The following is a 14,917-nucleotide window of genomic DNA, read 5'->3' as shown; positions in this document are numbered from 1 at the left end:
CAGGCATGGTGGCTCACACCTGTAATCCCAGCACTTTGGGAGGCCGAGGTGGGAGGATCATGAGGTCAAGAGTTTGAGACCAGCCTGGCCAACACGGTGAAACCCTGTCTCTACTAAGAATACAAAAATTAGCCAGGTGTGGTGACGCGTGCCTGTAATCCCAGCTACTGGGGAGGCTGAGGCAGAAGAATTGCTTGAACCCGGGAGGTGGAGGTTGTAGTGAGCCAAGATAGTGCCACTGCACTCCAGCCTGGGCAACACAGCAAGTCTCCGTCTCGGAAAAAAACAAAACAAAACAAAGATATGAAGTCATTGGAGGGTAAGGAAGGATGAAAGTTTTGTGCTAAGGCAAAAGACCAAAATAAAATTTTAATATATAATAGTTCATTTTCTCATTCATACATTCTATTCAATAACAATTGAGTGCCTACCATGACTAGGCAATGGTGCTGTCATGGTAGGCACTAGAGAATTACCTTCTATGGAAGGAGGCAGATAAATAAGCAGATAATGAAACAAATATATAACTTCAAATTGTGATAAATACATTGAAGAAAGCAAAGAGCAGGAATTGGTAGACTTTTTCTGTATAGGGCCAGATAGTAAATAAGCTTTGCAGGCTGTAAAGTTTCTGCCATTGTTGCATAAAAACAGTCACACACAACACATAAGAATGAACATGGCTGTGTTCCAACAAAACTGTATTTGCACAAACAGGTGGGGGCTGGATTTGGTCCACAGTCCATAGTTTTCTGACTCCTCATATAAAGTATTAGGAGGAAAGGGAGGCACTTTAAACAAGGGGAAGACAACAGTCAGGAGATCAGTCTTTCCTACGGTAATTTTGAGATGTCTATGACACATCCACATGCAGATATCAAATAGGTAACCAGGTATTTGAGAGTGGCACTCAGATGAGAATTCTACAATAAAAACATAAATTGGAAGCCACTGGTATAAAGATGGGAAAGGATGAGATGACACCAGAAGAGAATAGAGAGGTGAAAAGGGTCTAGGACTGAGCACCAACGAACAAAAGTTCATAGTGTATGACTCTTAGTTCATAAATCTAAGGTAGTCATCAATTTAAAGCCCCTGTCTGAATCAGGATGGTGAGAAATTCAATTTCATACGTTTGATATTTCCTCCTCTCCCTACTTTCTCAGCTATTTAAAGGTCCCTAGGTTTTACCTGGTACCAAAGCACCAAGGAGACTACTCTGATCGTTGATCTGCCACTAAACCACCCCTGCCTCAGTAAGCATGGTTTTGCCAACCCTAGAAGCTTGCTATATTTAACCTTTTATGGAGCCAGAATCCCCTGCTAAAGTGCAGCCTCTCCAAGTCACCCCATTACTTCCCTCTCTGAGGTCCTGCTGCTTCTCCAGGGCACTGATATGGAATGGAGGTGGGTACTTGTTACTCTTTGACCTCCAGTCTCTTTCCATCTGTGTGAAATGTCACTCTCTCCTCTTCGCTGACTTCAAAAACTTTTCTGTCTCCTCTCTTCCCCAATGGGACATCTGGCTCAATCTTCGCAGTGGGCTTAGAATTTCATAAAAGTCTAGAAATGCAGTTGGCTTCAAACAGCCTCTGCTCTTTGCTCTGCAAAAGTTCCAGAGTCAAGGGAATGCTAAGGGCTTAACCATCAGATTAGAAAAGAGGGAAGCAGAGGGCCAGGCGCGGTGGCTCACGCATATAATCCCAGCACTTTGGGAGGCCAGGAGTTCAAGGCCAGCCTGGCCAACACGGTGAAACCTCATCTCTATTGAAAAAAATAAATAAATAAATAACAAAATTAGCTGGGTGTGGTGGCGCATGCCTATAATCCCAGCTACTCAGGAAGCTGAGGCAGGAGAATCTCTTGAACCTGGGAGGCAGAGGTTGCAGTGAGTCGAGATTGTGCCATTGCACTCCAGCCTGGGGGACAAGAGCAAGACTTCATCTCAAAAAAAAAAAAAAAAAAAAAAAAGGAAGTACCATCCATCCTGTTGCCTGGGTAATCTTCCTAAAAAAAGGTTTTCATCATGTCATTGTCTGCTTAAATCCATAACATTAAGTCCAAATTCTTTTGCCTTTGTCAAAACATTAACCAAATTCTAATTGGCAAGGCACTCCATAGCATAGTGTCTGGCTTACAGTTGGCTCTTGATACATGTTCTTTGAATGAACAACTATAGAGGATTAGATGTATGGATGGATGAACCTGGTCATTCAAAAATCCCCAACATCTCTCTTTACCTACAGGCTAGCACTGTGTTTAACCCAAGTTCCGTGGCTTTTAATGAAGCTATTTTATTTTGCTGAGTCCCTTCCTTGGCCTTCTTCATCCTAACACCCATCTCAAGTGCCACTCTTGTCCCTTCAACTATACCAGCCCATACTAACCTCAACTTTTTCTGTATTCACACTAAATTTAATTCAGTACCATTTAGTTTACCAGTCAATTGTTCTAACTGTAGCGTGCACCTTTTCTCCCTTTTAACTAAACTGAAAGCTCATTGAAGAGATAAAAAAAGGTATGTTTGCATTCTTGCTCATTGATTGATTTAACAAATACTTTAAAATTTACTTAACAACCTATGCGTATTTAATAACTTGAAAGACTCTAATGTTTACTATTAGATGGATTTTGCTGAGAAGCATACTACTATAATCTGCAGATGAACCGGAAATCTCCTGGCTTTAAAACAAGCATTTCAAGATGCTGTGTTGTTAATTAATGGAAAGCATGATTGTTTCTGACTTCTTAAAGGTTTCCAAAGAGCACAGGGAAATCACGCAACTGCCTGTGTGTTACCACAAAGCCTAACTGGCTTTACTTTGACATTCTTGCATTTTCTCATCTGCCTTAGTTTCTCTGCCAGAATCACATTTTTCTTTTGGTGCATAGTTTTTAGTAATTAGAATAGCTATTTCCAATGTCATAACTAGGGCAGTGAAACCTAATACAACTGGTTTGGGACATGGGGATTTTCCACCTCTCCAATTCTTTTGGAAACTCCCTCTCAGCCCAGCAGTAGGTCTTAGAAACACTACAACCCAGTTGCCACACAGGGGGTGCAAAAGTGACTATGGTGACTGCAAAATTTAGAGGTCAAAACAGAGATAGTGCAAAACACCCCATACCACAGTAATATTTAGAAATCTTGTTCCACATGCGGATACAGTTCTCTAAATTCAACATAGATTTTGTAAGTAGTTCTTCATTGGTGTGCTTTTCTGTCTATCTGCAGAAGTTCTGATCTGTTGTCTGATACAGCTTAGGATAGTTCTCATTCAGTGGTTTTCAAAGTGTGATTCCCAGATAGCAGCATCAACATGATCTGGGAACTTGTCAGGAATGCAAATTCTTGGGCCCCACCCCAGACCTTATTGTGTCAGAAACTCAAGGGGGTAGGTCCCAACAATTTATGTTAACAAGCCCTCCAGGTGATTCTGATGCATGCTTAAGTTTGAAAACTGCTGTTTAAATTCAACATATTTCATTGTAGATTAGGAAATTAAAAGCCAGATATAAGTGACTTAACCTAGGCCATAAAGCAAGTAAGTGCTTGTAAATGTATTTATTAATCAATGTTCAGGGTGAACTGTTGATATATAAAATTAATAATTTGTTTAATCATAATATGAAGCTTATTCTCAAACTTTTCGTTATGTGCCTTCACTAGGTTTTAGAAGTAATAATTTTATACTACATCATTACAAAAGCCCTAAGTCTCACCTTAACAACATGCCTTGCTCCAATCATAAGTGTTTGGTGTACACATGCATATAAAATATTATCCTAAGGTGGGGCGCAGTGGAACCCGGGAGGCAGAGGTTGCAGTGAGCCGAGATTGTGCCACTGCACTCCAGCCTGGGTGACACAGTGAGTCTCCGTCTCAAAAAAAAAAAAAAAACTCATATGGATAGGCTTAAGTTTTTAATTTGCAATTGGGTCTTTTACAGAATTTCTTCTGGGCTATATTTTATAGCATTTCCCTAATTTTCAAAACTGTTCTTAAAGTGCGGGTGACTTTCTACCAAAGAAATCCCTCAAATTAAAATTTTGAGGGAAACACATAGTTTTAATTTATTTACTCCTTTTAATCTTTTTAATTGAAATATACTAATATGTATACAATCTACAGATCTAAGTGCCCAGTTCAATGAGCTTCAACAATTCTATACACCTATGTTATCTTCATCCAAAACAAGATACAGAACAGCTTCATCACCTCAGAAAATTTCTTTGTGCCCCTTTGCAATCACTTCTCACCCTGTCTCTCACCGTTCAACCACTTCCTGACTTATATCACAATAGATCTGTTTTTCCTATAGTCTGTTATTAGACTTCAGACAAGATCAGGTGCATTCAGGGTAGTACGGCTGTAGACCTGTTGTCAGACTTCAAATAAATGGAATCACACAGGATGTACTCATTTGCATATGGCTTGTTTCACTTAAAATGTTTTCAAGATGTATCCATGTTGCATGTATCTGAGTTCATTCTTTTTGATCGCTGGCTAGTACTGTATTGTATTGTATGAATACACCAAAATGTGTTTCATCTACCTTTTTCTTAGTAACAATTATATTTTTTCTTTTTATATACTTAAGTACAAAAGCAGTAAGTACTTAAAGTTATTTAAAGTATGTAATACATAATGTAAAAAATTATAGAAAATAAGGAAAAAAGAAAATAAATGTCCATAATTCCACTCTCTAGACATAACCATTACTAATAACTTGTGGATCCCCTTTGAACTTTTGTTTATATAAGTTATCTTCTTATATTATATATTTATCATAGGTAGTATAAAAATTCTTATTTTAGGTTCAAGTTTTACCACTTAGACCCTGACATTAGTGTGTTAAATTGGCAGCCCTTATTTTAACTATAAAATGTTTTCTAAATTAAATAAAATCTAAAATTAATACCTGAATAAACATTCATTGTCCAAAATTCAAATGATACACAGTATGTAGAATAAAAAGTAAATGTCCTTGTATAGCCCCACCATAGGTAACCAGTTCAACTGCAAACTCTTGACCACAAGATAATAATGATAAGGACCAAGGAGTGCAAAATTTATTATCACATAATTTTTGTTTTATTTTTAAATTTTTATTTTCACATTTTATTATCTACATACCAGTGATCTTTTCATTGGGAACATCTTATTTTATAATGCCAAATGCTCACACAGGGACTAATTCTAGTACAATAGCTTATATCCACTTTGAGATACAGTTTTGAACTATTTTCTCTGGAAGTGAACAGAGTGCCATCTTCGAATATTCTGATTGCTGAGTAGTTTATTCCCATCTGTTTTTGGAAGTCTAGATATGTATAGCTTTCTTAGTATATTGATCTTTACTTAAAGCAAACATATTCTTCAATGGCAAATTGCCTTTTCTCCATTTGTATTGACCTGTATGTCTACACCAAGCTATCTATATACTGTCATTACAATTTGGAGACTATCAGTTAGATGCAAAATCCTTTTGAGGAACAGAGAATAACCCAAAGTATAATTCAGGGTTTGCTCTTGAAGAGCACTTTGTTTCATTCACATTTTCCTAATAGGAAAATGTGGCTTGCATTGACAGTAAAAAATGAGATCTTTATTATACTTAAGACTGGGTACAGCAGGGTAGTGTCCTGGCAGGCAGTCTGTCTTTCCATCAGTCAGGGTGAGTCCAGAAACTTTGCCTTTCTATAGATCACCATAGATTCCAAAGCATGTTGCTTAATTTCTTCCAACTTTGAAGCTCACATACCTAGAGGCAGGCAAAAATGCAGCTGTGGTTTTACTTGAACTGCTTTTCTATTCTTGGTTTTTGAGACAGAATATACATAGTAGATGAAATTACATATGCAAAATTCTATAGCCTGATATTAGGCCATTCTTGCATTGCTATACATACTTGAGACCAGGTAATGTATAAAGAAAAGAGGTTTAATTGGCTCACAGTTCTGCAGGCTTTATAGGAAGCATGGTGCTGGTATCTGCTTGGCTTCTGGGGAGGCTTCAGGAAGGTGAAGGGGGAGCAAACAAGTCACATGGCCAGAGCAGGAGCAAGATGGAGCGGTGGAGGCACCACACACTTTTAAATGACCAGATCTCAGAAAAACTCACTCTCTATTGCAAAGGTAGCACAAACCCATGAGGGATCTGCCCCCCGCACCGCCCCAAACACCTCCCACCAGGCCCCACCTCCAACACTGGGGATTACAATTCAACATGAGATTTGGTGGGGCCATATATTCAAATCATATCACCTACTAAGCCCAAAGCTCTAAGAACTGTCCTTTTCTCTTACAATGGAGCTACAAGATTTTGCTTTGGTGATTAAGAGAACAATACAATCTTATGTAGGCAGGGCCCCATAATGTTTTAAAGTTACTGAAAATATTCCAATTCATAGTAAAATAATAATATTAGCTATTATTTAATGAGCGAAACACGGTTAAAGCATTTCCTCAAAATCATCTCATTTAGTCTTCAATAAGAAGTTTGGGGGCTTATTATGAACTCTCAGAGATGGCATTTGGATGTCTTCAGGCTTAGGACTATGGACTCTGTCCTGGGGATGAGGTTCAGAAAAACTTAGATGTTGCTGGCCTTAGCTTACAAGGTCAAGTTAGTAAAAATTTAGCATGATTAGAACTGGGAAATGTCCTGCTCTAGGGGACTGCAAGTGATTGCTGAGGTTGTTCCTCTTGTTACGTGTCTGAATGCCTCTCAAGCCAGGAAGATAATTCCTTATTAAAAATGGCCGGAGGTACCAGCATTCTACCTAGTCAGGGCTCCAGCTTCCCTCCTCTTTGTGTGCAATCTAAGTTTTGGACCCAAGGGTGGAGGACCTATCACTGTACAATGCTGAGTAAGACATGGTTTTCACCGAAGTCAGTGAAGTTCCCAGTCCTTTCTGGCGCGAGCTGCATTCCCAGACACTCGAGCTCTTACGGAAAGAAGCTCTGTCTTTTGCGCTAGTGTTTGTCTACCGTCCCCTGTCCTAAAATAATGACTGCCCTCTACCTGAGGGAAAGGGACTTCAATGGTGGTAATCTACTCGCGGCTGGCTGCATCCTTAAAAAAGCCCATTTCTCTTCTACTATCTTCAAGATCTTGGTTAACCAGATTCACATTGTATGTGCCGGACTCTTAGGTGACTGCTCTGTGCTTTTTTATCTAAAGAAGGGCAAGTCACCCACGGGTACTAACCCTCCCCCACCCACATCAAGGGAGAAACACTCCTCTACTCTTTTCTGGACATTCCTGTTCAGAGTCGAGGTAAGGGTTGCACGGCCCCGCCCCTCCGTTACCAAGCCTTCCCTCGCCTGCCTCGCAGCCTCAGGCCCTTAGAACCCAGGCGGGGCGGGGCCGGGAAAGGTGAGGCTGCTGGCGGGAAGCGGGGGCGGCGCGCAGCGGTACCTAGCGGCGCTGCCCCGCTGGCAGCCGGAGGACGTGGCACTGTCCGAGAATGCAGGGAGGGGATTCCGCTTTCTCCTCCCGGCGAGGAGGAGCCTCGACATCCTGCAGAGGCGGGAGGATCCTTGAGGGCACTGGTGCGCCTTTCAGGTGAGGTCTTAGCAGATGAAAGCGGCTGGCTGTGGCCCGCGCCAGTAGTGCTTTCTGCTCCGCACTCGCCGTGAGCCAGGTGTGCAACCGGATTTGGGGCGAGGGTCGCGCTGGCTACCTCGCATGCGCAGAGCCGGAAGCCCGCTGACCGGACTACAGCTCCCAGAAGAGCCTTGTGGAGGCCGCAGACGCGAAGCCGCTGGCGCCATCTTGAAATCTGATCCTCCATCCCCGAGGCTTTGCGTCTGGGCGGCCGGCCGCTGCTGCTCCGGGAGCCCAGTCTGCTAAAAGGGGAGGACGTTGAGGACGCGGCGGCTGGCGGGAGAGACAGCTGGGGAGAGACATGGCAGGGTCGGAGCGCGGCCTGCGCCTCTGTCACTCAGCATCCTCTTAGGCGTTTCCACGCCCGCCCCCTGCCCGAGGGGCGGGGCTGACGGCTCTGGTACCCGGAGTCGGCGCGCGGGACAGGGGCGCGCCCCTGCAGAGTGGGGACCCCACTGGGCTGTGCCATGCTGACCGGAGACCACCGAGGCGGGAGACAGAGCGCGGCGAAGAGCCATTGAGTGGTCACCCAGTAGCCGCCGCCGCCGCCGCCTCGGGAAGCTTGCCACCCGCTAGGAGGGAAGATGAAGGAGATTTGCAGGATCTGTGCCCGAGAGCTGTGTGGAAACCAGCGGCGCTGGATCTTCCACACGGCGTCCAAGCTCAATCTCCAGGTTCTGCTTTCGCACGTCTTGGGCAAGGATGTCCCCCGCGATGGCAAAGCCGAGTTCGCTTGCAGCAAGTGTGCTTTCATGCTTGATCGAATCTATCGATTCGACACAGTTATTGCCCGGATTGAAGCGCTTTCTATTGAGCGCTTGCAAAAGCTGCAACTGGAGAAGGATCGCCTCAAGTTCTGCATTGCCAGTATGTATCGGAAGAATAACGATGACTCTGGCGTGGAGATCAAGGCGGGGAATGGGACGGTTGACATGTCCGTCTTACCCGATGCGAGATACTCTACACTGCTCCAGGAGGACTTCGCCTATTCAGGGTTTGAGTGCTGGGTGGAGAATGAGGATCAGATCCAGGAGCCACACAGCTGCCATGGTTCAGAAGGCCCTGGAAACCGACCCAGGAGATGCCGTGGTTGTGCCGCTTTGCGGGTTGCTGATTCTGACTATGAAGCCATTTGTAAGGTACCTCGAAAGGTGGCCAGAAGTATCTCCTGCGGCCCTTCTAGCAGGTGGTCGACCAGCATTTGCGCTGAAGAACCAGCGTTGTCTGAGGTTGGGCCACCCGACTTAGCAAGCACAAAGGTACCCCCAGATGGAGAAAGCATGGAGGAAGAGACGCCTGGTTCCTCTGTGGAATCTTTGGATGCAAGCGTCCAGGCTAGCCCTCCACAACAGGAAGATGAGGAGACTGAGAGAAGTGCAAAGGAACTTGGAAAGTGTGACTGTTGTTCAGATGATCAGGCTCCGCAGCATGGGTGTAATCACAAGCTGGAATTAGCTCTTAGCATGATTAAAGGTCTTGATTATAAGCCCATCCAGAGCCCCCGAGGGAGCAGGCTTCCGATTCCAGTGAAATCCAGCCTACCTGGAGCCAAGCCTGGCCCTAGCATGACAGATGGAGTTAGTTCCGGTTTCCTTAACAGGTCTTTGAAACCCCTTTACAAGACACCTGTGAGTTATCCCTTGGAGCTTTCAGACCTGCAGGAGCTGTGGGATGATCTCTGTGAAGATTATTTGCCTCTCCGGGTCCAGGTATACAAAACGTCTACATAGTGCCTTTCTGATTATAGCTAGCTGGCCTCTGGCTTCACGTGATTTCGGTCTAGGTGGAGGTTAGAAATATTCTGGACTTGAGAAAATTAGTCATGACCCCATTTTTGCTGCACCTTTTGCTATGTCTCATTTAGTAAACGTGATTTGCACTCAATTTGATTTTCACAATCCTTTTTGTAAAATCTGTTGGCTTTCCCATTATCAAAATTGTATACCTTTTAAAACAAAAAGGTAAAAATTCCTACTTCACTTTTTTCCTATAAAAAGAAGACATTTAATCTCATTTCTGGCACTAGAACTTTTCCTCTTACCTCTTTTTTTTTCCAACTTTTAAGATTTGTTCTTGTTTTCAGATTTATAGACGTTTCCTCCCAATGGTTTTCTGTAAGGCAGTTAGTTCTCTAGTTAGTTCTTCCTGGAGCATTAAAGCCTTCATCCGCAAAATGCCTGTAAATGATTAGAGCATAAGGTAAAAGGTTTGGGGAAAGCCTATTAATCCACCAGTAAAGTATTATAACATCTGGACCATATTAATTAGAATTAATAGTTCATTTGAGGATTAGTGATGACTCATTCATAAAAGAGACAGGAATTCAAGTATTCAAGTACAGTATTGTCAGTCAAAAGGTTAAGGCATAAACTGTTCACAGCCAGAACTCTACTGAGTTCTACTGGAAGATATTTGATATTAAGAAAGGATTAACCCATTATTGGATCAGAGGAGAGTTTCATTCATTACAGTCTTGAATTCTTAATTGCTTAATTTGAGCTATTCGTGTCTGCCCAATTGATTCTGTACCAACCTTTTAAATTCAACTATGGTAGTTTGTTTCTATAGCAACAGTAAATGCTAGCTTCAATAAACTTTGTGAAACATTCTGGCATGTTCCACTTGATACAACTTATTTAACAATACTGTCACAAAGGTAGATGTGATCTAGAAGGCGTTTTTTAGAAAGCCTGCTACTGGTCAACGTCATTCCAGAAATTTAGAGCTTGATAAGTGACATTGTTGATGGCCACTTGAAATTTTTGGAAAGTAGTTCTATGGTATGTATACTGTCTATCACAATAAGAACCTAAGCAGAAAACAGGAGAAAAGTTTTTAAATTTACACAAAATTATGAGAAGCAGCATAGATGAGAAACAGCATAGATGAAAGTGTCATGAAAGGTAAAAAGTCAGTGCATTTTCATTTTGTATAAAATGTTAAGCACTGTATGCTTAACACTGTGTACTTCTTTTCTTTTGCTTTTTCTTTCAGTGGAGCCTCGCAGCTAAATTTGGGCTTTACAGTATTTCTGTGATTAGACATAGGTGTTACAAATTAAACATGGTGTTTTCATATTAGGGTCTAAAATTAGTTGGGCCAGGATGGATGGGAAATAAACTCGTCCCCCCAGCCCGCCACCAAATATGACCAATATTGTAGAACGTTACATAAAGACTGAGAAAATAACAGCCAAAACAAGATCTTTTTTTCTCCGTATTTAAATAAAATACTGTATTTTGGTGACTGGATTTTGGAGTGGAGAAGGATTTTAAAGATCATCTTCAGGCAGTCTCTCAATTTGGAGATATAGAAAGTTCCTTGTTTAACTAACGTAGCCCATGCAGAGACAAAGATTTCTGACCATTCTCAGGCAAGACACTTTAATTCTATACATTAAACCCCATTGTCTGAAGTATATTAATTTAAGTAAGTACTTATTTTAAACCAGGAGCCCTCTTTCTCTAACCTAAGGATGCTCGGAGGATTCTTTAGAGATTATGTGAAAAAAATTGTCATCTGAATGAACACATATAAACTATGGTAACTGTATCTTTAGGTCAAGTCCCTTTACTTCACTAAATTTGGACATTAGAGCTTTAAGATGGTAGTGTATGACCTTTCTGCTGTGACTTGACTTACATTGTTTACTGTTTCTAGAAAAACAAAAATTAGGAGGTGGGAGAAAATGTCATTCAGCTTCAAGAAATGTGGCATTTAATTATTATGCCATTTTCTCTAATAATTTAGGATGTCAGGGAAAATAGATGAATTGGGCCCAACATGTTTGTAAATAAAATGGGCAGTGTATCTATTGTTTAAATCTGGTTACTTTTAAGCTCCTTAAGAGCCTTATGACAAAACCAGTGCTAGATGGGACAATGGCAGACTGGTTTTTGTCTATTTCTCTGAACAAATATGGAAAGAATAGAAATAATGTAATTTTTTTTGGTAGTTCTCTTTTTTAGTTTGTAGAAACACGAAACCATGAAAGAAAAAAATGTTTCCTTTAGTTCAGTTCTGCCACAAATATGGAGAAAACCTTTTATCTTAAAGAGCAAGATTGTTCTGTAAGGTTATTTTGATTCCTTTGTTTAATCCTCCACTTACCATATTTTATGCACTATTAAATATTGACATCAGGATTCCTCCTGATTGCTTTTCCTCTTTTTTTCTTTCCTTCTTTCCGTCTTTTTCTTTGTTCCTTTCTTATTTATTAAAGAAAAATAGCAACAGTGTAGTTCTGCTTACTGATATTCTGATATTATACAAAGTAATTTATTTTCCTTCTACAGAATTTATGTATGAGGACCTAAGGCTGTTCAGATATCTAAAGAAAGGTTTGAAGCCTTCTTCTAGCTGGTAATTCCCTTCTTCATTGTCTGGCCCTGAACTAGAAAAGCTATGATGGGAGGGATGTGGTCCCTTAGTAAACAGCAATGAGCTCTGGCCCATGTGCAATTTCCCTTTCTATCTAAATTCAAAGAACAGAAGATCTTTGCCTTAAACCTTGCAATGCCAAGGTCTGCTCCTTTGTGACTATGGTAAATTTATCCCACTCTTATTTTAGTTATGTGAAGTGGATCAGGCCCTTTGGAAGATGTTGGCATTAGATGCTGGTAAAAGATTAGGCCTTTAATTTTATGGTAGTCAATGGTTCTTGTCTGTCTCCTATTATTAACAATAGGGTTGACAATTATAGCAGTTTGAGATCTATAACTCACTACTGTGAGGACTAGAAAGTGCCAAGAAAACTGCTGTTAACACAAAAAGTCTAAAAACTGGCCTTAGCCTAAAAAAAAGTCTCATATTGTGCAACACTAGGCCTGGAAGCGGTTCTCTTTTCTGATACTGGAAAGCCTTTGTCCTAATTCTGAGTCAAAAGTGACTTAATTTAAAATTATATTATCATTTCCACATGATTTTAGTACCTGAGTGTCTAGAGAGTAACACTGATTCTACCAAATCAGGTATTACTTATTTCATGGGCTACACTATCATTGTAGGAGTGACTGTTTTATGTACTTGATACTTCACAAGAATTCATTATGTTGTTGGCTTAGTGGGACTTGCTAAGTGCTCTTTCAGCAGACTGTTACCTGCAAGGACATTTTTCTGAGATGCAAAATAGTAAATTATTACAAATAAAGAAGAAACAAATATCTTCCAACTTTTAGGTCAGTACATTATTTATAGAAAAAGAGGTTTCTTATTATTATTCATGTCAAGATTGATTCATATGAGATTCAAATACATTATGTATTTTCCTGTGGCATTCTTTGGCTTTAAAGTTGCTGTTCGAATATATGTTATATACAGTCTTATTTCTAAGAGAGCCACTAAAGGCCCGTTTTTGTTTGTTTTTATTGTTCTTATTTGTTCATTAAACAAAAACTTTTGATCTCTGCAGTATTCCCGGCATTATGGTAGGCAATGGGTTTATAGAAATGAGAGATACATTCCCAACCTGAGTGGAAATCCAGTTCAGTTTAATTGGATCTTTTTCCTGATTTCCCATGAAACCTTGGACTAATTACTTCTCTAAGTTTCCATTTCCTTGTATGTAAAATAGGATTGGATCAGATGGTTAGTTTATAAAGTTTCCTTCACCACTGTAAGATTGTTTGGTTTAAAGTAAATAAATATGACCACCTTCCTTGCCATTTTAAACTTGAAGCTATTTTCTTTAATTCTGCCTGTTGTAGTTTGAATTTCAAAGTATCTTACTGTAGGTGTTACTGTTGTTTTACGCTGAAGAAGTAAGAAGCCAAATTTTATAGAGATGGTTTTATCATTAAGTAAATGATGAATTTATTTATTAGTTAGAATCATTGTAAACATCTGTTAATGTGGTTACTTTGCCCATGGTGTGACATAGTTCATATTGCCTCAGGTGAAGGCTTCCTGTTATACCCACAACAACAAATATCTCAAATAATTTTTCCAGAAGTCATTATCCTTGCTGCTTTTTTCCCTCTCCCTCTATCCAGTCCACCAGCAAGTCCTGTTAGCTATACTTTCAAAACATATCCATATCTATCCATTTATTTCCCCCTCCCTTTACTAACCACCAGGATCCAAGCTACTATTGTCTTTCACCTGCACTACCGCAGCAGCCTCCTACCTGGTCTCTCTGCTTCTCTTGGTGCTCCCCAATAATTCATTCACCATAGCATGATCTTTTCAAAACTTCTGTATGATTACCTGTTAAAAAACTGCAGTCTATTCTCATTTCAATTAAAATGAAATCCAGTTCATTAACTTTGTTGTCTGAAGCTGGATGTGACCTGGTGCCTGCCTGCCTCTCCATCTCATTGAGTTTCCCTGTCCCCTTTGCCCACTATGCTCTAGCCCTGTGCTATCCAGTAAGCTAGCCACTAGTCTTAGGAGCTGTTGAACCCTTGAAATGTGGCTAGTCCAAATTGAGATGTGCTGTGAGTATAAAATATACCTTGAATTTCAGACTTATGAAAAATCATGTAATATTATCTCAGATAATAATGTTATCTCATTAATAATTTTTATATTATTTACATGTTTATGATAACATTTTGGATATATTGGGTTAAATAAAATATTTTGTTAAAATTAAGTTTACCTATTTATTTTGTACTTTGTTCATTGAAGCTACTAGAAAATTAAAAATTACATACATGGCTCACATTATATTTCTATTGGAGAGTGCTATTCTAGCCACAGAGGCCTTTCTCTTTTCCAGGCTCATATTCCATTAGCTGTTCTTTCTGCCTGGATTGTTCTGCTGATCTTTGCAGGACTGATTCTTTTTCCTTCAGATATCTATTTAAATGCTGCCTCATAAAGACCTTTCTCTGATCAAACAATTTAGGGTAATTTAACCACCCACTCTGTATTATGCTTTCCTGTTTTGCCACACAGGGCTTGTCCATAATATTTTTTGCATTTCCTTGTTTGTTTATCATGTACTCCCCACTCCAACCCCTGCAAAATATAAGTTTCAAGAGCACAGGGACTTTGTCTTGCATGATACTCTATCTTCAAGACAGTGCCTAGCACATAGTTAGTGTGCAACAGATATATGTTATGTCAGCATTGTATTCCTCACAGTGCCTCACATGGTGCTTTGCTTATTATAGCATTTAGTAGGTGTTAGAAAAGTTGATAAATAGCACTGGAGGAATAGAAGAGATTTTTCTTCTGCAATTTTTATGCTTCCAGTCAGTTGCTGGCAGGAAGGGATTTAAGGTAAGCTGTAACTCCACTGCCTTGAAGGTGGTAATCAAGTCTGAAAGTGTGAGGGAAACAAAAAATGAATAGCAGTTGCCT

The 14,917-nt window shown here is 40.4% G+C and overlaps 1 long non-coding RNA gene and 1 pseudogene across 3 annotated transcripts in view, besides 1 other annotated feature; one reads left to right on the top strand and one right to left on the bottom strand.

Annotated features, from left to right (window-relative positions):
• The window catches only part of PDE4DIPP2 (PDE4DIP pseudogene 2), a 195,809-nt pseudogene that overhangs the window by 99,097 nt on the left and 81,795 nt on the right, over positions 1–14,917 (top strand). The window lies entirely within an intron of this gene.
• LOC107985524 (uncharacterized) lies at positions 5,073–7,655 on the bottom strand. The gene is made up of 2 exons (NR_168400.1): positions 7,424–7,655; positions 5,073–5,765 (listed from the first exon to the last, which is right to left on the bottom strand). It is a non-coding gene; the product is annotated as an uncharacterized LOC107985524 (long non-coding RNA).
• Positions 7,640–7,819: an enhancer, noted in NCBI's record as "active region_1601". NCBI's record gives its function as "activates an Ori minimal core promoter by ATAC-STARR-seq in GM12878 lymphoblastoid cells {active_cell/tissue: GM12878}" and the evidence as "EXISTENCE:reporter gene assay evidence [ECO:0000049][PMID:35858748]".

This window comes from Homo sapiens, chromosome 1 (genome assembly GCF_000001405.40).
Source record: "Homo sapiens chromosome 1, GRCh38.p14 Primary Assembly".
Classification (NCBI taxonomy): Eukaryota; Metazoa; Chordata; class Mammalia; order Primates; family Hominidae; genus Homo; species Homo sapiens.
Note: the sequence above shows the minus strand (reverse complement) of the source record. Positions and strands in the feature narration are given on the sequence as shown.